The sequence below is a fragment of the Homo sapiens genome, chromosome 19 (assembly GCF_000001405.40).
Source record: "Homo sapiens chromosome 19, GRCh38.p14 Primary Assembly".
Classification (NCBI taxonomy): domain Eukaryota; kingdom Metazoa; phylum Chordata; class Mammalia; order Primates; family Hominidae; genus Homo; species Homo sapiens.
Window position 1 is genome coordinate 6,568,875 of NC_000019.10, and position 22,782 is coordinate 6,591,656.

Here is a 22,782-nt window from a genome sequence, read left to right on the forward strand (position 1 = left end):
AAAAAAGAAGTAAACTATGTTCTAAATGCCACAAAGTTTTTCTTTTTCCCAAGCAGCCAAACAAGCATTTGCCTCTAGATAAGCAACGTTAAAGCACTTTGCAGCTCCACTGGATGCTAACTGACCACCAGCCATAACTATGGCTTTAATTAGGCAAGAGACTTATTTCAGTAACTTTTTCCTGATGAAGAAACCACTGACCACGGGCTAGATCTGGCTGGTTTACAGAAATTGCAAGCTTGTGTGCCTTTTTGTCCTGAAAAGAACTTTTGATCTATAGGGCTTAATAGTAATATTTTTATTCTATTCTATTCTATTCTATTCTATTCTTTTTTTTTTTTTTTTTTGAGATGGTATCTCGCTCTGTCACCCAGTCTGAAGTGCAGTGGTGCGATCTTGGCTCACTGCAAGCTCTGCCTCCCGGGTTCACGCCGTTCTCCTGCCTCAGTCTCTTGAGTAGCTGGGACTACAGGCGCCCACGACCATGCCAGGCTAATTTTCTGTATTTTTAGTAGAGACGGGGTTTCACTGTGTTAGCCAGGATGGTCTCGATCTCCTGACCTCATGATCCACCCGCTTCTGCCTCCCAAAGTGCTGGGATTATAGGCGTGAGCCACCGCACCCAGCTTTCTTTTCTTTTCTTTTCTTTTTGAGGAGTTTCACTCTTGTTGCCCAGGCTGGAGTGCAGTGATGTGATCTCAGCTCACTGCAACCTCTACCTCCTAGGTTCAACTGATTCTCCTGCCTCAGCCTCCTGAGTAGCTGGGACTACAGGCACAGGAAAACTCCTGTTTTTAAAACCATCAGATCTCGTGAGACTTATTCACTATCACTTATAGCCCCACTATGCCCAGCTAATTTTTTTTTTGTATTTTTAGTAGAGGTGGGGTTTCACCATGTTGGTCAGGCTGGTCTGAAACTCCTGACGTCAAATGATCCACCCACCTTAACCTCCCAAAATGCTGGGATTACAGGTGAGCCACCATGCCTGGCCCCACAATATCTTTAAATCAATGACTCTCCTCATGGTTTGGATAAGGTCCCTCCAGATGGAAAAATTTGCTTGTGATTTTAGCCATGATTATAGGGATAGCTTTATTTTTCTACCCTGGACTGTATTGCTGTTGCATGCTATGTATGGGAATGCAAGACTGGCTTTCCCAGAGGCTTCTTTTTTTTTTTTTTTGAGATGGAGTCTCTCTCTGTCACCCAGGCTAGAGTGCAGTGGCGCCATCTCGGCTCACTGCAAGCTCCGCCTCCCGGGTTCACGCCATTCTCCTGCCTCAGCTTCCTGAGTAGCTGGGACTACAGGCGCCTGCCACCATGCCCGGCTAATTTTTTGTACTTTTAGTAGAGACGGGGTTTCACCATGTTAGCCAGGATGGTCTTGATCTCCTGACCTCGTGATCTGCCCGCCTCAGCCTCCCAAAGTGCTGGGATTACAGGCGTGAGCCACCACACCCGGCTGCTCTGATCTTTATTATTTCTTTCATTCTACTGAGTCTGGGTTTGGTTGGCTCTTGCTTTTCTAGTTCTCTAAGATGCATTGTTAGTGTGTTTATTTTAAGTTTTTCTTCTTTTTTGATGTAGGTGCTTATAGCTAAAGCTTCCCTCTTAGTACTGCTTTCACTGTACCCCATAGGTTTTGGTATGTCATGTTTTCATTATCATTTGTTTTGAGGAATTTCTGAATTTATTTTTTAATTCTTCATTGACCCACTGGTTGTTCAGGAGTGTATTGTTTAATTTCCATTGTGTTTGTATACTTTCCAATATTTCTCTTGTTATTGATTTCTAGTTTTATTTCATTGTGGTCAGAGAAGATGCTTGATATTATTTTAATTTTTTTTGAATATTTTAAGACTTGTTTTGTGACCTAACATATGGTCCATCCTTAAGAATGATCCAAGTGCTGAGGAAAAGGTGTTTATTCTGCAGCTGTTTTCAATGTTTATTCTGCAGCTTTATTTAACGTTTATTCTGTAGCTGTTGAAAGAAATGTTCTGTAAATATCTATTAGGTTCATTTTGTCTATAGCGCACATTAATTCTGATGTTTCTTTGTTGATTTTCTGGCTGGAAGATCTGTCCGGTGCTGAAAGCAGGTTGTTGAAGTTTCCAGCTATTATTGTATTGGGGTCTATCTCTCACTTTAGCTCTAATAGTATTTGCTTGTTATATTTGGGTGCTCCAGTGTTGGGTGCATATATATTAACAATGGCCATATTCTCTTGCTGAATTGATCCCTTTATCATTGTATAATGACCTTCTTTGTCTCTTCTTATAGTTTTTGTCTTGAAACTTATTTTGTCTAAGTATAGCTACTCCTGCTCTTCTTTGGTCTCCATTGGCATGGAATATCTTTTTCCATCCCTTCATTTTCAGTCTGTGTGTATCTTTATAAGTGAAGTGTGTTTCTTGTGGGCAACAGATCATTGGGTCTTGTTTCTTTTTTTAATTCATTCAGTGACCCTATATCTTTTGATTGGAGACTTTAGTCCATTTACATTTAATGTTATTATTCATAAGTAAAGACTTACTTCTGGCATTTTAGTTTGCTTTCTGGTCTTCCTTTCCTTCTTTCCTATCTTGTTTTTAGTGAAGGTGATTTTCTCTGGTGGTTTAATTTAATTTATTGCTTTTTATTTGTTTTGTATCCATTGTATGTTTTTTGATTTGAGGTTGCCATGAGGCTTGCAAATACTATCTTATAACCATTATTTTAAGCTGATAACACCTTAACACTGCTTGCATAAATAAACAAACAAGCAAGCAAAAAGAATACTAGTAAAAATTCTAACTTTGCAGGCAGGGTGCAGTGGCTCACGCCTGTAATCCCAGCACTTTGGGGGGCTGAGGCAGGTGGATCATGAGGTCAGACGTTCGAGACCAGCCTGGCCAACATAGTGAAACCCCGTTGCTACTAAAATACAAAAAATTAGCTGGGTGTGGTGGCGGGTGCCTGTAATCCCAGCTACTCGGGAGGCTGAGGCAGGAGAATTGCTTGAACCTGGGAGGTGGAGGTTGCAGTGAGCTGAGATGGCACCACTGCACTCCAGCATGGGTGACAGTACGAGACTCCATCTCAAAAAACAAAACAAAACTCTAACTTTGCCTTCCTGCTTTTTAACTTTTTGTTGTTTCTGTTTATATCTTATTGCACAGTCTGTGTCTTGAAAAGCTGTTGTAGGTATTATTTTTGATTGTTTTATCTTTTAGTCTTTCTAGTTAAGATAAGAGTCCTTTATGCACCACAGCTACAGTCTTATAATACTCTGTGTTTTTTCTGTGTACTTACTATTACCAGTGAGTGTTGTACCTTCGGATGATTTCTTACTGCTCATTGACAACCTTTTCTTTCTGACTGAATCACTTTCCCTCAAATTCACTTAGGGACCCAGAGCACTCCACCCTGCAGTGGCAAGGCTTGCTGGAACTCAAGCCCTGACCACTGAAATGGGTGATTCCGCTCTGGTTAGGGCCAGTCCAACTGCTTCCCCTATGGATGGGTCAGCTGGGGACAGCCCAGTTCCGCTTTCTGCTGTGACAAGTGAGCAGTGAATTCAATGCAAAGCCTCACAATTGCTGCGCTTTCCCCCTCCCAACTCACAGACTCTCTGTCCACATGGTTGCTGCTGGGGGGGGTGGGGGAGGGGTGGCATTGGCAATTCAAGACTGTCTTTCCTTCCCTCTTCAGTGCCTCTTTCAGCGATATGAAGTCAAAACCAGGCACTGTGAGTGCTCACCTGATTTTTGGGTCCTAGGAAGGCACTCCCTTTGTGTAGCTAGTTGTCAAACTTGGTGCTCCTGTTGGAGGGATGATTGGTGGCACTCTTTATTTGGCCACCTTGCTCTGCCCTTCCCAGAAGATTCTCTTGTGTAAGCCCAGGGACTTGTGAATCCTTTCAACTCCAGGTGGATAGGTTCTACCCCATGGCTGCCTAATTCTGCCCCTTTTCAGCAGGAAGTAGCCAGAATGGATGCATCACCTGTTTTCCATAGAAATGGAATGGAGTTTGATGGTGGGGATTTCGTAACTGGGGACTTCAGTTTAAAAATATATTTTATTTATTAATTTTTTTATTAGGATAGTCAAGTGAAGCAGTGGGAGTGGAGAAGGAACAAAGAAATATGTAACTGGTTGTGAACAATTAGTTGTAAACACCACTGCACTTGGACCAGCCTAAAAAGATATTTTAATTGCCGGGTGCGGTGGCTCATGCGTGCATTCCCAGCACTTTGGAAGGCTGAGGTGGGCAGATCACCTGAGGTCAGGAGTTCAAGATCAGCCTGGCCAACATGGTGAAACCCTGCCTCTACTGAAAATACAAAAAAATTAGCCGGGTGTGGTGGTGGGAGTCATAATCCCAGCTACTTGGGAGGCTGAGGCACAAGAATTGCTTAAACCCGGGAGAAGGAGGTTGCAGTGAGCTGAGATTGCACCACTGCACTCCAACCCGGGCGAGAAGAGTGAGACTCCCTCTAAAAAAAAATATATATATATGTGTATATTCATTTATTTATAAGTATCTATCTATCTATCTATCTATCTATCTATCTATCTATCTATCTACACACATATATACTTTTAATCACCCTCCTCTCCTCTCACCTCTTCATTCCTTCCCTCTCTAGATACTCCCTTCTGGCAATGCATGCTTATCTAATTAGGCACTTCCTTGAGAAATTCCAGAGGCTAATCTTAAAACAAACCAGGCAAATCAGGAGCCCTGATTACAGAATCCTTTCACTTAGGGAGAGCCACTAATACTAATGGTTAGTCCACCATCATTTGGACAAAGTCAAGATAATACCAACCAGACCCCTGAACAGACGACAACCCAAGTTAGCCATTGGAACAAGACACACAGACCCCATACCGTGCACCATTCTACTCCACATCTCCCATACTGAAGTGGCATTGTTGTCTGGGGTAAATACCTGGGAGTCGTCCTCTTGCACCAAGAAGATTAACAATATGGACACACACACATGGAATGGGTTAAGAAGCAGAAAGTTTAATAGGCAGAAGAAAGGAGAGAAGAGGAGCAGCTCTCTCCCTCTTTCGAGAGAGAGGTGTCTGAAAAGGAAAAAGTGGTGGACCTCATCAGATTTTACAGGCAGGCTTGAGAAGGAGGTGTCTGACTTATGTAAGGCCCACAGATTGGTTCGACCAGGTGTGATGTTTACATGGTGCGTGGGGAAGGCTGGTTGCCCCACCCTAATCTTATCATGCAAATGGCTTTCTGCTTGGTCAGTGCCATCTTGTCTGCCTCTTACTGTACATGTGGCTGGCAAAGAGAAGAGAAGACGGAGCTGCCATTTTGAGCATGCCTATTCCCGAGTAGTTTCTTCCTATTGGCACAACTGCCAGCATTCACCTGTGCAAACTTCTAGCTTTTTTGTCTATGTCTGCCACTCGATTTTACAGGCTGCTCTTTGCTAGAGAAGAAAATGATTTGGGGGCTGCTTTTCATTAAGAGGAAGACCTTACCGAGGACCCCCATATCTCCCTATCTGCCTAAGTAATTTCTTCTTAACTCCTATATCAATACCAAGCTTTCCTGTAAAATCCCTATGGTAAGATTTTAAAATTTAAGATGATGTTTAAGACTATAGTCTCCCATCTTCCCAGTCTGCTGGCTCTCTGATTAAACCTGCTTTTCCTTCCTCCAATCCTTGTCTCTTGAGTCTGGCTTTCAAATGATGAGCAGCCAAACCTGGGTTCGTTTACACAAGTCCTGAACCACATGACTGTTTCCCTAACACACATAGCATCTTCCCGCTTTCCTCAGATTTCTATTCTTCCAGTTCCAAACCCAGGCCACGCTTGGTTTATCGATGGCAGTGCTTCTAAACCCAATCAATTTTCACCAGCTAAAGCTGGATATGATGTCGTGTCCCACATCTTTATTATCGAAGCTGCTGCACTTCCTCCCTCCACCACTTCCCAACAAGCCAAACTAATTGCTTTAACTCGTGCGCTCTCTCTTGCTAACAGAATGCACATTAACATTTACACGGACTCCAATATGCTTTCCACATCCTCCATAACCATGCTGCCCTCTGGGCTGAAAGAGGCTTCTTTACCACACAAGGCTCTTCCATGATCAATGCCTCCCTAATAAAGGCCCTCCTTAAGGCTGCTCTCCCGCCGGCCATGGCTGGAGTCATTCATTGTAAAGGACACCAGAAACCTACTGATCTTATTGCAAAAGGAAATGCCTATGTCGACAGGACAGCAAAAGAAATAGCCAATGCCTCCACATCTGCCAATATTCCAGCCCCCGCTCCAGAGGGCCAGTATTTTTCTTTCTCCTCTATCACTCCCACCTACTCTTCTTCTGGAAACCTGCTCTACCAGTCTTTTCCAACTCAGGGCAAGTGGTTCTTAAATCATGGAAAATTCATTCTTCCTGCCTCACAAGCTCAGTTCATTCTTTCTTTCCTTCATGACCACCTCCATGTGGGATACAAGTCTCTGGCTCGCCTCCTACAGCCCCTCATCTCCTTCCCTCTGTGGAAATCCATCCTTAAGACCATCACCTCTCAATGCTCTGTCTGCCATGCCACCAGCCCCCAAGGCTTTCTCAGGCCTCCTCCTTTTCCTATGCATCAGGCTCGTGGATTTACTCCGACACAAGATTGGCAAATTGACTTTTCTCATATGCCCCATGTCCGTAAATTTAAATATCTCCTGGTTTGGGTCGATACCTTCACCGGATGAGTTGAGGCTTTTCCCACTAGCTCCGAAAAGGGTACTGCCATCATCTCTTCCCTTCTAACAGATATAATTCCCCGATTTGGCCTCCCTGCTTCTATTCAATCTGACAATGGTCCCGCCTTTATTAGTCAAATCACCCAAGCAGTTTCTCAGGCTCTTGGTATTCAGTGGAAACTTCATACCCCTTACCGTCCTCAATCTTCAGGAAAGGTAGAACAGACGAATGGTCTTTTAAAAACACACCTCACCAAGCTCAGCCTCCAACTTAAGTACTTCTACCACTTGCCCTCCTCAGAATTAGGGCCTGTCCTCGAGAGGCCACAGGGTACAGTCCATTTGAACTTTTATATGGACGCACTTTCTTGCTGGGCCCCAACCTCATCCTAGACACCAGCCCTCTAGGCGGCTATCTTCCAGTCCTCCAGCAGGCTAGACAGGAAATTCACCGGGCTGCTAATCTTCTCTTGCCTACTCCAGATTCCTAGCCATATGAAGATACCTCTTTTAGTACATCCTCTCATCTTTTCACTTTACATTTCCAGTTTTGCCTTACACAAGGTCTCTTTTTCCTTCGTGGCTTCTCCACCTACATGTGTTTAGCTGTTAATTGGACAGGCACATGTACACTAGTTTTCCTTACTCCCAAAAATCAATTTGCATATGGGACCGAACAGCTTCCTGTTCCCCTCATGACACCAACATTTCACTGCTGTTTTGTTTTTCTTACTATTAATATAAGAAGACAGGAATAGGCCTGAACTTGCTCACTGCTGAAAAAGGAAGACTCTGCATATTTTTAAATGAAGACTGTTGTTTTTACCTAAATCTATCTGGCCTGGTATATGACAACATAAAAACACTCAAGGACAGAGCCCAGAAACTCGCCAGTCAAGCAAATAATTATGCTGAACCACTTTGGGCACTCTCTAGTTGGATATCCTGGGTCCTCCCTTAGTCCTTAAATACCTGTTTTTCTCCTTCCCTTATTCAGACCTTGTATCTTCCGTTTAGTTTCTCAATTCCTACAAAACCACACCCAGGCCATCAGCAATCATTCTATATGACAAATGCTCCTTCCAACAACCCCACAATATCATCCCTTACCCCAAAATCTTTCTTCAGTTTAATCTCTCCCACTCTAGGTTCCCACGCCACCCCTAATCCCACTCGAAGCAGCCCTGAGAAACATTGCCCATTATCTCTCCATACCACCCCCCCAAAAACTTTTTGCCACCCCAACACTTCACCACTATTTTGTTTTGTTTTTCCTATTAATATAAGAAGACAGTAATGTCAGGCCTCTGAGCTGAAGCTAAGCCATCATAACCCCTGTGACCTGCACGTATACATTCAGATGGCCTGGAGCAACTCAAGAACCACAAAAGAGGACATTTCACTATTGTGATTTGTTCCTGCCCCACCCCAACTAATCAATCAATCAACCTTGTGACATTCCTTCTCCTGGACAATGAGTCTCATGATCTCCCCACCGCACCTTGTGACCCCGCCCCTGCCCCCAAGAGATAACCACCTTTAACTGTAATTTTCCACTACCTACCCAAATCCTATAAAACTGCCCCACCCCATCTCCCTTTGCTGACACTCTTTTTGGACTCAGTCCACTTGCACCCAAGGGAAATAAGCAGCCTCGTTGCTCACACAAAGCCTGTTGGTGGACTCTCTTCACATGGGTGTGTGTGACAGGATAGTCCTATTCTACCCTCCTTGCAATAGTCTTTTTGAATAAAGTCTTCCCTTGCTAAATTCAGATTTGTTTTTTATTTGACAGAGTAATGGTCGGTGCACATAAAAGACTAAGCATGCACAAAAGTGTGCACACAAAGATAAAGGCTGGGTGTGTGCACTTGAGGAGGCTGTGCTCAGTGTATGTGTGTGTGTGTGTGTTTATGGGTACTGGTGGTAGGTGGTTTTTGAGTTGCATATGCATCTGAGAGTCCAGATAGTCTCTGAATGTAAAGAAAGCTTGGTCTTGTCTGGGCTTGTCTGGGCTTGCCCCCTGAGCGGATGAGACACACCCCGTCTCAGCCTATTTGAATAACGGCAAAGTGTTAAGCCAATTCTCAGGGAGGAAACAATCTTGCAAATACAATATCATCTTGGGGCTGGAGGAGAGAAGAATCTGCCACAGGTCTGCCAGTGGAAGTGTTTGCCTTCTCTGGGTCTTGTGTGGTCCCATCAGAGAACCAGGGTATATAAGACAGACACCAGAGAACAGCTTCACTAAGACCAGAAGACCCCAGCACCCTCTTCCAGAATGCCCTGGGTCTTGCATGGCCCCCATGGGGAAACCAGGGTATATATGAGAAAGACGTCAGAGAACAGTTTCACTAAGACTGGAAGAGCTTACTTCCCTCTTCCAGAATGCAGTATTTGGAGCAGGAGAATCTGCTCTTTAATAGCTTTCAGCTACACAGGTTTCAGTTCCTCAAAGGCTGCACTTCTGACGTTGAGAAGTCAGAACATAGTAATATCTGCATGAACATTGCAGCATTACTATTTTTTTTTAAATTTTACTTTAAGTTCTGGGATACATGTGTAGAATGTGCAGACTTGTTCCATAAGTATACATGTGCCATGGTGGTTTGCTGCACCTATCAACCCATCATCTAGGTTTTAAGCCCCACATGCATTAGGTATTTGTCCTAATGCTCTCCCTCCCCTTGCCCCCCAACCCCTGACAGGCCCCGGTGTGTGATGTTCCTTTCCCTGTGTCCATGTATTCTCATTGTTCAACCCCCACTTATGAGTGAGAACACGCGGTGTTTGGTTTTCTGTTCCTGTGTTAGTTTGCTGAGAATGATGGCTTGGCTTCCAGCTTCATCCATGTCCCTACAAAGGACATGAACTCATTCTCTTTTATGGCTGCATAGTATTCCATGGTGTATATGTGCCACATTTTCTTTGTCCAGTCTGTCACTGATGGGCATTTGGGTTGGTTCCAAGTCTTTGCTATTGTGAATAGTGCCATTGCAGAATTATTTATAATAGCCAAGACATGAAAACAACATAAGTGTCCATTAATGAAAGAATAGATAAAGAAAGTATGGTCTACAGACACATTGGAATACTATTTCATCTTACAAGAGAAGAAAATCCTGACATTTGGGACAATATGGATGAACCTGGAGGACATTAGGCTAAGTGAAATAAGCCAGACACAGAAAGGCAAATACTGCGTGATCTTACTTATACGTGTAAGAGTTAAAGAAAGAGAAAAGAAACACGAAAAGGGGCTCAACAGTCAAAGACGGGTTTATTTTGGAGAATAAACCTGAGAGGGGCTTCTGGCCAATTTTGGTCAAGAGTGCTCTCTCTTACAGATTAAAAGTATATATTGGTTTTAGGGTGAGGGGGCTTATCACAAGCTTGGAATGTTTCTGTGTGGAGGAGAGGTTTATGGCGGGGGGTTGGAATGTCTCTGGTCACAGGGGAGGTTATCTTGGGGCTGACATCTTCCCAGCCAGAAAGGAGGTTATCTTGGGGCTGGAATGTCTGTGGTTGAGGATGTTATTTGTGGTTTATGGTCATAGTGACCTTAGCCATTAGGCTGATGCCATTTGGATTTAGGCAGTTTTTTGATCAAGATGAAACTTTTTTTTTTTTTTTTTTTTGGGATGGACTCTCTCTTTGTTGCCCAGGCTGGATGCAGTGGTGTGATCTCAGCTCACTGCAACCTCTGCCTCCCGGGTTCATGCCATTCTCCTGCCTCAGCCTCCTGAGTAGCTGGGACTACAGGCACCCGCCACCACGCCTGGCTAATTTTTTTGTATTTTTAGTAGAGACGGGGTTTCACCATGTTAGCCAGGCTGGTCTCAATCTCCTGACCTCATGATCCGCCCACCTTGGCCTCCCAAAGTGCTGGGATTATAGGTGTGAGCCACCCCGCCCAGCTCTGATCAAGATGAAACTTAAAATGGCAGCACTTGTCCAAGATGGTGATACTCCTGTTCTGTCAATATGGGGAATCTTTAAAAAAAAAAACAAAGCCAAACTCTTAGACAGAGAGTAGAACTGTGGTTACCAGGGAATAGGGGTAGGAGGAAATGAGCAGATATTGGGGCACAAATATGTGGGCTCTCTGGAGGCTTGCGAGCTATTAAGGAGTGGGTTTACCCCAAATTGGAAAATGTGGGCTCTGCGTTCAAATAGCCTCACTTGGGTCTTAGGGCTGGTAAGGTTTGCTGGAAATTTGCATGTGCATTGTACATACACACACCAGCATGATATTTAAATCAGTATTATGAGAATTTTAAAGAGATACAGTTTTCCTATCTCAGCACAACAGACTCATGAAGCATTTACCATCACCCTTAAAAAAGACCACACACAAAGTGTGGTCGGTTAATTGGTGAATTACGTAGATTCATCAAAACACCAGTTCCTCCTTTGTGCAGGCTAAATTTATGACAGTGGACATCTCTGGTCTCTATCCTGTTAATCTGGATGTCCGAGTTTAATGCTAAATTTCAAAAGATGAGGCTGGGCACAGCAGCTCATGCCTGTAATCCTAGCTCTTTGGGAGGCCAAGGTGGGTGGGTCACCTGAGGTCAGGAGTTCAAGACCAGCCTGGCCAACATGGTGAAACCCAGTCTTTACTAAAAATACAAAAAAAAAAAAAAAAAAAAAAATAGCCAGACTTGTTGTGATCTTGGCTCACTGCGACCTCTGCTTCCTGGGTTCAAGCGATTCTCCTGCCTCAGCCTCCCAGGTAGCAGGGACTACAGGCGCCTGCCATCATGCCTGGCTATTTTTTTTTTTTTTGTATTTTAGTAGAGATAGGGTTTTGCCATATAAGCCAGGCTGGTCTTGCCCTTATTACCCTTCTGACCAAGCCGAGGCGGGTGATCCTTCCCCTCTCTCAGCTGGGACAGGTGAATCACCCGTCTTGGCCTCCCAAAGTGCTGGGAACAAGCATGAGTCACCGCTCGTGGTCCTGTTAATGGACATTGAATTTCCTTTTGAGGAGGTGGACAAGATGGTGATTAACTGTTAACGGACTTTGAATTTTCTTTTTTCTTTCTTTTCTCTCTCTCTCTCTTTTTTTTTTTTTTGGAGATGGAGTCTCGCTTTGTTGCCTAGGCTGGAGTGCAGTGGTGTGATGATCTTGGGTCACTGCAACCTCTGCCTCCCAGGTTCAAGCAATTCTCCTGCCTCAGACTCCTGAGCAGCTGGGACCACAGGTGCCCACCACCACGCCTGGCTAATTTTTTTCTATTTTTATAGACATGGGGCTTCACCACGTTGGCCAGGCTGGTCTCAAACTCCTGACCTCAGCTGATTCACCTGCTTTGGCCTCCCAAAGTGCTGGGATTACAGGTGTGAGCCACTGCGCCTGGCCTTGTATTTTCTTTTCTATAAAACCCTGTGTATACACTCTTTTTTCAAAAATTGAGGTGAAAATCATGTAACATCAAATAATCCTTCCTTCCTTCTTCCCTCCTTCCCTCCTTCTCTCTCTCTCTTTGTCTCTTTCTTTCTTTTTTTTCTTTATATTCCTTTGTCACCCTAGGTGGAGTGCCACATGAACATAGCTCACTGCAGACTCCTGGATTCTAGCCTCCTGCCTCAGCCTTCCTGTTAATGGACATTGAATTTCTTTTTCTTTCTCTCTTTTTTTTTTTTTTGGAAATGGAGTCTCACTCTGTTGCCCAAGCTGGAGTGCAGTGGCACGATCTTGGCTCACTGCAACCTCTGCCTCCCAGGTTCAAGCGATTCTCCTGCCTCAGCCTCCCGAGTAGGTGGGATTACAGGCAGGCGTGGTGGTGGATGCCTGTAATCCCAGCTACTCGAGAGGCTGAGGCAGGAGAATCACTTGAACTCGGGAGGTGGAGGTTGCAGTGAGCTGAGACCGTGCCACTGCATTCCAGCCTGGGTGACAAGAGCGAAACTCCATCTCAAAAAACAAACAAAGAAACAAAAAATCAAAACAAACAAAGAAAAAAGAAAATAGAACTGATTCAAATGACGGTTAAGCACCTGAAGAAAAGTTCTGGACTGGTAGAAACACAAGGAAACCCTCAAAGACTGTATATCTAAAAAATTCTATTTTATATTCCTGTGAACAGTTTTAATCCTATGTGGTAGATTAATGTAAGTTAGTTTATACAATACATATTTTTCCTTTTTGACTGGCTTATTTCATTGAGTATAATGTCCTCAAACTAGTCATGCCTTCCTAACTATCCCCCAAAGTCTTAACTCATTTCAGCATTAACTCAAAAGTCCACAGTCCAAAATCTCATCTGAGACAAGGCACGTCCCTTCTGTGAGCCTGTAAAATCAAAAGCAAGTTAGTTACTTCCTATATACAATGGGGTACAGGCGTTGGATATACCCATTCCAAATGGGAGAAACTGGACAAACGAAGGGGCTGAAGGTCCCCTGCAATTCCAAAATCCAGTGGGGCAGTTAAATCTTTTTTTTTTTTTTGAGACAGAGTGTCGCTCTGTCACCCAGTCTGGAGTACAGTGGCTCGATCTCGGCTCACTGCAACCTCTGCCTCCCGGGTTAAAGCGATTCTCCTGCATCAGCCTCCAAGTCGCGGGGACTACAGGCGCACGCTGCCACGCCTGGCTAATTTTTTTTTTTTTGTATTTTAGTAGAAACGGGGTTTCACCATATTGCCCAGGCTGGTCTCGAACTCTTCAGCTCAGGCAATCTGCTCGCCTCGGCCTCCCAAAGTGTTAGGATTATAGGCATGAGCCACTGTGCCTGGCCAGGCAGTCAAATCTTTTTTTTTTTTTTTTTTTAATTATACTTTAAGTTCTAGGGTACATGTGCACAACGTGCAGATTTGTTACATATGTATATATGTGCCGTGTTGGTTTACTGCACCCATTAATTTGTCATTTACATTAGGTATTTCTCCTAATGCTATCCCTCCCCCCCTCCCCCGACTCCACACTCCACGACAGGCCCCGGTGTGTGATGTTCTCCTCCCTGTGTCCAAGTATTCTCATTGTTCAATTTCCACCTATGAGTGAGAACATGCGGTGTTTGGTTTTCTGTCCTTGCAATAGTTTGCTCAGAATGATGGTTTCCAGCTTCATCCATGTCCCTATGAAGGACATGAACTCATCCGTTTTTATGGCTGCATAGTATTCCATGGTGTATATGTGCCACATTTTCTTAATCCAGTCTATCATTGATGGACATTTGGGTTGGTTCCAAGTCTTTGCTATTGTGAATAGTCAGGCAGTCCAATCTTAAAGCTGCCAGATAATCTCCTTTGACTCTGTGTCTCACATCCAGGTCACGCTGATGTAAGTGGTGGGTTCCCATGGTCTTGGGCAGCCCCTTCCCTGTGGCTTTGCAGGATACAGCCTCCCTCCCGGCTGCTTTCACAGGCTGGCGTCGAGTGTCTGTGGCTTTTCCAGATGCATGGTTCTGAGTCCAGGTAAGGTTGGAGAGGGGCTGCAGGGCTAGATTTGTGAGGGCGGGTGGCGCATGGGTCTCATTTTCCCTCCCTCAGCTGGGACACCCCACCACTCCTCTCACTTCCCCTTCTAGAAGTGAGATCATGGATGCAAGATGCGGGATTATCTGGCTTGGAATCCTGAGTCCACTACTATGTAGATGAATTGCCTCGGGCTTGTGACTCAGGTTTTCTGCCACTATTTTCCTCAACTGTTAAATACTGAGGTTCCAGCTGTTACAAAACCAGTAACTTTGGACAGATGACTCAACGGTTTACGCCTCTGTTTTCCTCATCTGTGAAATGGGAACAATGATGATTCCTCCAGCTTTGTAGGGCTTGCATGAACACGAGCTGAGTTAATGGGATAAAACAGTGTGCAGTCCATATTAAATGCCGTAAGAAGCACTTGACTTTGAGTCCCCAGTTCCAAAATCCAAAAAGCCCTGGAAATCAAGTTGTTTTGGTGAATTGTTTGGCAGCAATCTCTGACCTGAACTAACTTTTTGTTAATTGTAGTCTTTTTTTTTTTTTTTTTTTTTTTTAAAGACAGTCTCACTCTGCCACCCAGGCTGGAGTGCAGTGGCACTATCTCAGCTCACTGCAATCTCCACCTCCTGAGTTCAAGAGAGTCTCCTGTCTCAGCCTCCCTAGTAGCATGGATTAGAGGTGCCCATCACCACACCCAGCTAATTTTTAAATGTTTAGTAGAGATGAGGTTTCACCATGTTAGCCAGATTGGTAACTGTGGTCTTGATTTTTTTTTTTTTTTTTTTTGAGATGGAGTTTCGCTCTTGTCACCCAGGCTGGAGTGCAATGACATGATCTTGGCTCACTGCAACCTCCACCTCCGGGGTTTAAGTGACCCTCCTGCCTCACCCTCCTGAGTAGCTGGGTTTACAGGTGCCGGCCACCATGCCTGGCTAATTTTTGTGTTTTTAGTAGAGACGGGGTTTTACCACGTCGGCCAGGCTGGTCTCAAACTCCTGACCTCAGGCGATCCGCCCACCTCGGCCTCCCAAAGTGCTGGGACTACAGGCATGAGCCACCGCGCCTGGCCTGTAGTCTTGATTTTTATCCCACTTAGTGTGAATGTTAACACTTCTCATTGTAAAAAAAAAAAAAAAAGATGTGGTGTTTGATTACAAAATGCTGTCCCGACCTCACTGAGGTGATGCATAAAAGATGGTATAAGCGCTAGGCGCGGTGGCTCACAACTGTAGTCCCAGCACTTTGGGAGGCCGAGGCGGGTGGATCACAAGGTCAAGAGATCGAGACCATCCTGGCCAACATGGTGAAGCCCGTCTCTACTAATAATAGAAAAATTAGCCGGACGTGGTGGCGGATTTCTGTAGTCCCAGACTTGGGAGGCTGAGGCAGAAGAATTGCTTGAACCTGGGAGGGTGGAGGTTGCAGTGAGCTGAGATTATGCCACTGCACTCCAGCCTGGACAACAGGGCGAGACTCCATCTCAAAAAAAAAGATGGTATAATCCTGTACACCATCTTTAAATACTGGTAAATTCTGAGTTCCAAAATGTATTTGAGGTCCAGGCAGTGGCTCATGCCTGTAATCCCAGCACTTGGGGAGACCGAGGCGGGAAGATCGGCATTTCGGGAGATTGGAGTTTGAGACCAGCTGGGGCAATGTAATGAGACCTCATCTCAAAAAAAAAAAAAAAAAAATAGCCGGGTGTGGTGGCCTGTGCTGGCGGTCCTAGCTATTTGGGAGGCTGAGGTGGGAGGATCGCTTGAGCCCAGGAGTTTGAGGCCGCAGTGAGACAGGATCATGCCACCGCACTGCAGCCTGGGCGACAGATCAAGACCCTGTATTTTCAGTAGAGGTGAGGTTTCGCCATGTTGGCCAGGCTTGTCTTGAACTCCTGACCTCAAGTGATCTTTTATTATTATTATTTAAGTTCTGGGGTACATGTGCAGGATGTGTAGTTCCATTACATAGTTAAATGTGTGCCATGGTGGTTTGCGACACCCCTCACCAGGCTGCAGTGCAATGACGCGATCTTGGCTCCCTGAAACTTCCGCCTCCCAGGTTCAAGAGATTCTCCTGCCTCAGCCTCCTGAGTAGCTGGGATTACAGGCGCCCTGGACCACGCTTGGCTAATTTTTGTATTTTTAGTAGACGGAGTTTTACATGTTGGCCAGGCTGGTCTCGAACTCCTGATTTCAAGTGATCCACCCACCCTGGCCTCCCAACTCATTAGGTATTTTGCATTGTCTGCTTTGAGAGACAGTCACCCAAAGTGATCTTTGTGTTTCCTCTCTTGTCAAATAGATGCACCAAGGAGAAAACAGAACTTTTTTTTTTTTTTTTTGACAAGGAATCTCACTCTTGCTCAGGCTGGAGTGCAGTGGCATGATCACGGCTCACTGCAGCCTTTGACCTCCTGGGCTCTACCCAATCTCCCACTTCAGCCTTTGGAGTAGCTTGGACTAGCACACCACTACATCTGGTTAATTTTTGTATTTTTTGTAGAGATGGGGGTCTCACTATGTTGCCCAGGCTGGTCTTGAACTCCTAGGCTCAAGCGATCTGCCTTCCTCAGCCTCCCAAAGTGCTGGGATTACAGGCATGAGCCACTGTGCCCAGCCCACTTCCTCTATTCTTCAAACATCCCTAACCAAGAACATTTTTTTTTTCCTGAGACAGAGTCTTGCTCTGTTGCCCAGGTTGGAGTGCAGTGGCGCAATCTCGGCTCACTGCAACCTCCACCTCCTCGGTTCAAGCGATTCTCCTGCCTCAGTCGGCCGAGTAGCTGGGATTACAGATGCACGCCACGAAGCCCAGCTGATTTTTGTATTTTTTAATAGGAAAATGAAAGAAAAAGCTCAATGCCTTCTCTTGTCCTGCCACCACTACCCCCCACCACACTCCCACCCCAACCCCGGGTGGCCCCTGTGTGTACACTTTTTCTCTTGAACTTAAATAAAATAAAATAAAATTTAAAAAACCCTAATCAGCAGCAGTGGTCAGGGGCGCACCCACTGCACTCCAAAGAAGGTCTCATCAGTGTTTCGGGAAGGCAAAAGTGTCCCAGTGAGGTTGGTGCAGAGTGTGTCCCCTCGGGCCAGGGGCGTCAGGCGCTGGGAGGCAATGGTACAACCTTGGTGGAAGCTGAGACGCAGCAGGCTGATGCTACGGGAGGCGGGAGAGCAGATTCCCACGGCCAGGGTGGTGGGGTGGTGCCTGGAGGCCGTCGTGGAGGAGCAGATGGCCAGCGTCACCTGGATGTGTACCATGTAGATGCCATCACGATGGATACGTAGCTGCCCCTTGTCCAGCTCTGGTCCATGCAGGAAGGAGCGGCCCAGTGCTGGGCCCCCCTGCCAGTATAGCCTGGGGTCCTGCTGAGGTCCTGGGGGCACAGGGTTAGAGGGATGAGAGGATGGAGGTTTAGGGAAACTGAGGCACAGGGGGTCATAGAGAAAGTCAGATATAGAGATCGAGAGTTAGAGATCAAGGAATAGGTTGGACGTGGTGGCTCATGCCTGAAATCCTAACAGTTTAGGAGGCCAAGGCGGGTGGATCACCTGAGGTCAGCAGTTCAAGACCAGCCTGGACAACAGGGCGAGACCCCATCTCTACAAAAAATAAAAAGTCAGCCAGGTGTGGTGGTGCACGCCTCTGGTCCTGGCTACTCTTGGGAGGCTGAGGCTGGAGGATCGCTTGAGCCTGGGAGGCTGAGACTGCAGTGAGCTATGATCACACCACTGCACTCCAGCCTTGGTCACAGAAACCCTGTCTCAAAAAAAAGGGAGGGGGATAGAAGGTTAGAGATCTAAAGGGAAGGAGAGAGGGGTAAGGGGAAAGGGGTAGAGACAGGGAGAGAGAGACACCAGGAGAGAGAGAGACAAAAAAAAAAAAAAAAAAAACAGAAACAGACAAGGGTAAAGATAGAGGGGGAGGGAGAGATATATAGAGAGAGAATGCAGAGAGAGAGCAAGAGAGAGAGTGTATGTGTGAGAGAGGACGAGAGTGCACGAGAGAGTGCGACAGAGAGCATGAGAGAGAGAGCATGAGAGAGCGAGAGAGTGTGTGAGAGGACGAGAGAGCTTGAGGGAGAGTGCACGAGAGAGTGCGAGAGAGCACGAGAGAGCAGGAGAGAGTGCAAGAGACAGCATGAGAGAGAGAGAGATCATGAGGGAGAGAGAGCATGAGACAGCGAGAGAGTGTGAGAGAGAGGACGAGAGAGCTTGAGGGAGAGTGCACGAGAGAGTGAGAGAGAGCACGAGAGAGCAGGAGAGAGTACGAGAGACAGCATGAGAGAGAGAGCAAGAGAGAGAGTGTGTGTGTGAGAGAGGACGAGAGAGCTTGAGAGAGAGTGCACGAGACAGAGTGTGAGAGTGAGCTCGAGAGAGTGCATGGGAGAGTGTGTGTGTGAGAGAGGATGAGAGCTACAGAGCTCGAGAGTGCACGGGAGTGAGCGAGAGAGTGCCTGAGAGAGTGAGACAGACAGCACGAGAGAGACAGCGTGCGCACGAGACAGCGCGCAAGAGAGTGCACGAGAGAATTCCCCAAGGGACGCCTGCTCGGGTCACACCCTGAACGCCAATAAAAGCTTTGGCTCCCAGGACCCTTTTTTTTTCTTGCTTTCCACCCGCTGGTTGAGTGTGTGTCTCAGAGAGCTCCCCTACCTTCCCGTTGGCCCTCTTCTCTCTAGGATCTTTATTTTCTTTAGAGACAGGGTCTGGTCCTGTCACCCAGGCTGGAGTGCAGTGGTGCAATCATAGCTCACTGCAGCCTCAGCCTCTGGGGCTCAAGCTATCTCCCACCTCAGCCTCCCGAGTCACTGGGAGGTGGCATGCGCCACCATGACCAGCTAATTTTCAAAATTTTGTTCTAGAGATGGTGGTCTTGCTATGTTTCCCAAGAAACATAGTCTAGAACTCCTGGGCTCAAGCGATCCTCCCACCTCAGCCTCCCAAAGCGCTGGGATCACAGCCGGGAGCCAAGGTCCTCGGCTATATTTCACGTGTTTCATCTCAGCGTCTCCTGTCTCCGCAACTTATCTGACTGACACACCTGAGCCTCACTCTCCTCCTCACTCAAGGCTCTCCTGGAGACTGGCTATCTTGTTAGGAAGGAACTGAACGGGGTCAAACAGGAGCCCCAAGGGTGTTTACCAGGCTTTGCAAATTTCCTGTAAGAGTGACACCTGGTCCCCTGTCACACACTTAGGCATGATATCATCCACCAGAAGAAAGAGCTGTCCTGTGAAAGACACTGTCAACACCTGTGGCCACCACCCCTGGTGCCCCATCGATGTGGGGCTGGACAGCCACTCTCCAGAAAGGGGCCTCAAGACCAAATTACAGGAAAAATATGGCAAAGGCCGGGGAGGGGGGGAAGATATATCAGGGGTCAGAGACCCAAGGAGAAGAGAGAGCAACAAAGGTCCCTTCCATTACAAAATGGAAGGAACAAAACACGCAAGCGTGCAGTAATTTTAGTCTCTGGGGATGAACCGTGGAAAAACAGAAGAGGAAGAAGCGTTCGAGAGAGGCTGGGAGGAGGTAGAGACTTCCACCTAGAGCAGAACTGTTCATTTCTTCTCCCTCAAGGCTTCTTGCCAATGCCACCCACTCAGATACCACCCCCCCACCCGACCGCCGCGACTCCACTTTAAATGAAAATCCCCAACCCTGGCATGCCCGGATTCCCCACCCACCTCCTTGCCTGATTTTTTCTCTAAAACCTGCTCTTGGCCTGTTTTACTCTACGTGGCATTGCTCTGTTTTTCACATGTTCGTTTTTATTTTTTTGGTCATCTCCTCCTCGGTAGGAGTGATAGTAGAAGGGAAGCTCACCAGGCAGGGATTTCTGTCTGTTTTGTGCGCGACTGCAGTACCGGAACAGTGCCTGCCCACTGCAGATGTATAATTAGTGCTTGTAGCATGAATGGAGGAAGGGTAGCCTTTCCTGTGAGCGTTTTCGTTTACTAACAAAACCCCTTTGATTCTTCCAAGGGAGGAGATCGAATGTGAAGGACTGAGAGGGAAAGGGAGAGAAAGGTAGTGGATGCCCAGAAACACAAACCTGCTCGCTCTCTCTCTCCTCTCTCTCTCTCTCGTTCTCTCCCTTTTCCTTTTTCTCTTGGGAATGATCTCTTTCTCCCCCGCCCTGTTTTTCTTCTTCCCCCTCTCTGTCTCTGTCTCTTCCTCTCTGTTATTCTCCTTCTCTTTTCCTCTCTCTGGCTTTCTTTCTTTTCTTTCTCTTATTTCTTTTTTTCTCTTTCTTCTTTCTTTTTCCTTTCTCTCTCTCTCACCTCCCTCCCTCTCTCCTTCCTTCCTTCTTCTCTTTCTTTTCCTTCCTTCCTTTCTTTCTTTTTCTTTTCCTTTCTTCTTTTTATTTATTTATTTGACAGAATCTCCCTCTGTCACCCAGGCTGGAGAGCAGTGCCATTATCTTGGCTCACTGCAACTTCTGCCTCCCAGGTTCAGGCGATTCTCCTGCCTCGGCCTCCTGAGTAGCTGGGATTACAGGTGCCTGCCACCACACCCGGCTAATTTTTGTAATTTTAGTAGAGACGGGGTTTCACCATGTTGGCCAGGCTGGTCTCAAACTCCTGGGCTCAAGTGATCCACCCGCCGCGCCCTCCGAAAGCGCTGGGATTACAGGCTCCAGCAACCACGCCAGGTCGCCTCTCTCGTTTTTATTCTCTCTTCCTCTATCTGTCTTTTTTCTCTTTCTCCGTCTCTCTCCCTCTCTCTCGTTCTGTCTCCCCCGCCTGTCTCCCTCCCTCCCTCTTCCACTCTCCCTGCGTCTCTCCCTGTTTCTTTCTTTCCCCTTCTTCTCCTGTCCCGTCTGTCCCCTCTGTCCCTCTCTCTGTTCTTTTTTCTGTCTCTCCCTCCCTTTCTCTGGGCCTCTCCCTCCCTCTCTGTCTTCTCTCTGTCTCCCCCTCTCCGTTTCCCTCCCTATCTCTCCCTCCCTCTCTCCCTCCGTCTCTGTCTGTGTCTCTTTCTCTCTGTCTCTCCCCACTTGTCTTTCTACCTCTCCTTCCTTCTCTCTCTGTGCCTCTTCTTCTCCCCGTCCCTCCACGTCCCCCGTGTTACCTGTGTGATTCAGCTGCAGCTCAGCTACGTCCCACTGGAAGAAAAGACCAGAAAACAGGGCACGGACGTAAGCAGAGAGGTTCTATGTGTCCCCTGTGCCAGGAGCTCTCTTTTCTCTGTCCATCCTCCTTTCCACCTCTCATCCCACGGCGCGCACTGGTGATTTTATTTCATTTTATTTTTTTTTACTCTTAAGACTTCTTAAAGAGGAAGCAGGTCTGAACCAGCGGGGAACGTGAAGTCGAGACCTTCAAAAGAACTTCTTCGTTTCCCGAATCGTTTTCCTGGATGTCACTGGGCGCGAGAGCACCGCGCGCAGCGGACTCTCTACGCTGCAAAGGCGCCCGGCGCGGTCCCCAAAGGGACCCCTCCCCCACCCGGAGCGAGTGGCTGGGGCCATCCCGTCCTAGGAGGCCCCAGGAAGCCCCCACGCCCAGCCTTGTGAAGCCCCCAGCAGCCTCTGAGTCAGCCTGCCGGGGGAACACCAGAGCCGAGTCATCTTCCATTTCCATGTGTGCCTACCTTTCCCATCCCGGGATCTCCCTGTACCTCCTGGCAGGGCTGCCTGTCTCGTAGCCCCTACACCGGGCAGCCTGGTCCCCGCCTCGCCTCCCTGTTCTGGTCTCTGTCTCTGCCCTACCAGATCTTCCTCTCTGGCCTCTTTGTACCCATCTCATTCTGTCTTTTCGGTCACGCGCCTCTCTATGTTTTCTTCCCAACTTTTCCATCTCAACTCACCCCAAGTGACTCGAGCGGCAGCTGCTGCTGAGCCTGTGCGAAGCGCTGGATGCACACCACGAGGCAGATCACCAAGCCCGCGACCAATGGGACCAAAGCAGCCCGCAGGACGCACCCATAGGGCCTGCGCCGCACCGAGCAGCCCGAACCCTCCTCCGGCATCGCCGCGGCGATCACCTCCGCTAGCGCAGGAGGGGCGATGGGGGCGCGGAGCGCTGCCGAGAAGGAAGGAAGGAAACTGCAGCCCCCTCCCGGGGCTCCTGGGCGTCTACTTGCTTCAACCTGTCAGGGGACCAGCCTGCCCCTCTCTGGGGATGTCCGGCCGGTCGAGGGGAGGGACTTGAGCAATTGGCGAGGGGAAATTCCCTCCAACCGCTGCCAGTCTGAAGATCCTAAAGTGGGTGGAGGCAGTTGCCAGGATGCAGGCAGTGGCCCCGGGTGAGCCTCAGAGTTGCCTGCCCCCAACCCCTCCCCGCCCGACCTTCAGGCAGGAGACATTCAATCTTCCTATTCCCCTCTCCACCTCATTCTTCTGGGGCCCATTCATTTATTCAACAAACCTCCACTGCACATTTATTAGGGATTAGATTGTGCTGTGCACTGGGGATACAGCAGACATCCAAGAATTGGGGGTGCTCCCCAAATATTCGTGTACCCCTCTCCTGCATTTTTTTGATTTGTTTTGTTTTTGAGACGGAGGTCTCCCTCTGTCACCCAGGCTGGAGTGCAGTGGCGCCATCTCAGCTCGCCGCAACCTCGATCTCCTGGGTTCAAGCGATTCTCCTGTCTGAGCCTCGCGAGTAGCTGGGAGTAACA

At 47.3% G+C, this 22,782-nt stretch overlaps 1 protein-coding gene across 2 annotated transcripts, besides 13 other annotated features; it reads right to left on the minus strand.

Annotated features, from left to right (window-relative positions):
• Positions 1 to 201: a silencer, noted in NCBI's record as "peak3304 fragment used in MPRA reporter construct". NCBI's record gives its function as "represses an SCP1 promoter by STARR-seq MPRAs in K562 erythroleukemia cells {active_cell/tissue: K562}" and the evidence as "EXISTENCE:reporter gene assay evidence [ECO:0000049][PMID:32103011]".
• Positions 8,258 to 8,942: an enhancer, noted in NCBI's record as "H3K27ac hESC enhancer chr19:6577143-6577827 (GRCh37/hg19 assembly coordinates)". NCBI's record gives its function as "activates a minimal SCP1, AML or CMV promoter by ChIP-STARR-seq in naive and primed H9 embryonic stem cells {active_cell/tissue: H9 hESC(naive and primed)}" and the evidence as "EXISTENCE:reporter gene assay evidence [ECO:0000049][PMID:30033119]".
• Positions 8,258 to 9,062: a biological region, named in NCBI's record as "H3K27ac hESC enhancer GRCh37_chr19:6577143-6577827".
• Positions 8,563 to 9,062: an enhancer, noted in NCBI's record as "active region_13842". NCBI's record gives its function as "activates an Ori minimal core promoter by ATAC-STARR-seq in GM12878 lymphoblastoid cells {active_cell/tissue: GM12878}" and the evidence as "EXISTENCE:reporter gene assay evidence [ECO:0000049][PMID:35858748]".
• Positions 10,312 to 10,994: an enhancer, noted in NCBI's record as "H3K27ac hESC enhancer chr19:6579197-6579879 (GRCh37/hg19 assembly coordinates)". NCBI's record gives its function as "activates a minimal SCP1, AML or CMV promoter by ChIP-STARR-seq in primed H9 embryonic stem cells {active_cell/tissue: H9 hESC(primed)}" and the evidence as "EXISTENCE:reporter gene assay evidence [ECO:0000049][PMID:30033119]".
• Positions 10,312 to 11,015: a biological region, named in NCBI's record as "H3K27ac hESC enhancer GRCh37_chr19:6579197-6579879".
• Positions 10,956 to 11,015: an enhancer, noted in NCBI's record as "active region_13843". NCBI's record gives its function as "activates an Ori minimal core promoter by ATAC-STARR-seq in GM12878 lymphoblastoid cells {active_cell/tissue: GM12878}" and the evidence as "EXISTENCE:reporter gene assay evidence [ECO:0000049][PMID:35858748]".
• On the minus strand, positions 12,774 to 22,276 carry CD70 (CD70 molecule). 2 transcript variants are annotated; one of them, NM_001330332.2, is made up of 4 exons: positions 21,967 to 22,276; positions 21,229 to 21,262; positions 17,280 to 17,531; positions 12,774 to 14,604 (listed from the first exon to the last, which is right to left on the minus strand). In NM_001330332.2, exons 1-4 carry the CDS (start codon positions 22,126 to 22,128, stop codon positions 14,426 to 14,428), a joined length of 627 nt encoding a protein of 208 aa, NP_001317261.1. In that variant the 5' UTR covers positions 22,129 to 22,276; the 3' UTR covers positions 12,774 to 14,425. The 2 variants fall into 2 exon arrangements, with proteins under 2 accessions (NP_001317261.1, NP_001243.1); NM_001252.5 differs by lacking the exon at positions 12,774 to 14,604 and having other exon boundaries at positions 16,965 to 17,531.
• Positions 16,839 to 17,593: an enhancer, noted in NCBI's record as "H3K4me1 hESC enhancer chr19:6585724-6586478 (GRCh37/hg19 assembly coordinates)". NCBI's record gives its function as "activates a minimal SCP1, AML or CMV promoter by ChIP-STARR-seq in naive H9 embryonic stem cells {active_cell/tissue: H9 hESC(naive)}" and the evidence as "EXISTENCE:reporter gene assay evidence [ECO:0000049][PMID:30033119]".
• Positions 17,594 to 18,346: an enhancer, noted in NCBI's record as "H3K27ac-H3K4me1 hESC enhancer chr19:6586479-6587231 (GRCh37/hg19 assembly coordinates)". NCBI's record gives its function as "activates a minimal SCP1, AML or CMV promoter by ChIP-STARR-seq in primed H9 embryonic stem cells {active_cell/tissue: H9 hESC(primed)}" and the evidence as "EXISTENCE:reporter gene assay evidence [ECO:0000049][PMID:30033119]".
• Positions 19,448 to 19,627: an enhancer, noted in NCBI's record as "active region_13844". NCBI's record gives its function as "activates an Ori minimal core promoter by ATAC-STARR-seq in GM12878 lymphoblastoid cells {active_cell/tissue: GM12878}" and the evidence as "EXISTENCE:reporter gene assay evidence [ECO:0000049][PMID:35858748]".
• Positions 19,918 to 19,997: an enhancer, noted in NCBI's record as "active region_13845". NCBI's record gives its function as "activates an Ori minimal core promoter by ATAC-STARR-seq in GM12878 lymphoblastoid cells {active_cell/tissue: GM12878}" and the evidence as "EXISTENCE:reporter gene assay evidence [ECO:0000049][PMID:35858748]".
• Positions 21,176 to 21,545: an enhancer, noted in NCBI's record as "active region_13846". NCBI's record gives its function as "activates an Ori minimal core promoter by ATAC-STARR-seq in GM12878 lymphoblastoid cells {active_cell/tissue: GM12878}" and the evidence as "EXISTENCE:reporter gene assay evidence [ECO:0000049][PMID:35858748]".
• Positions 22,046 to 22,445: an enhancer, noted in NCBI's record as "active region_13847". NCBI's record gives its function as "activates an Ori minimal core promoter by ATAC-STARR-seq in GM12878 lymphoblastoid cells {active_cell/tissue: GM12878}" and the evidence as "EXISTENCE:reporter gene assay evidence [ECO:0000049][PMID:35858748]".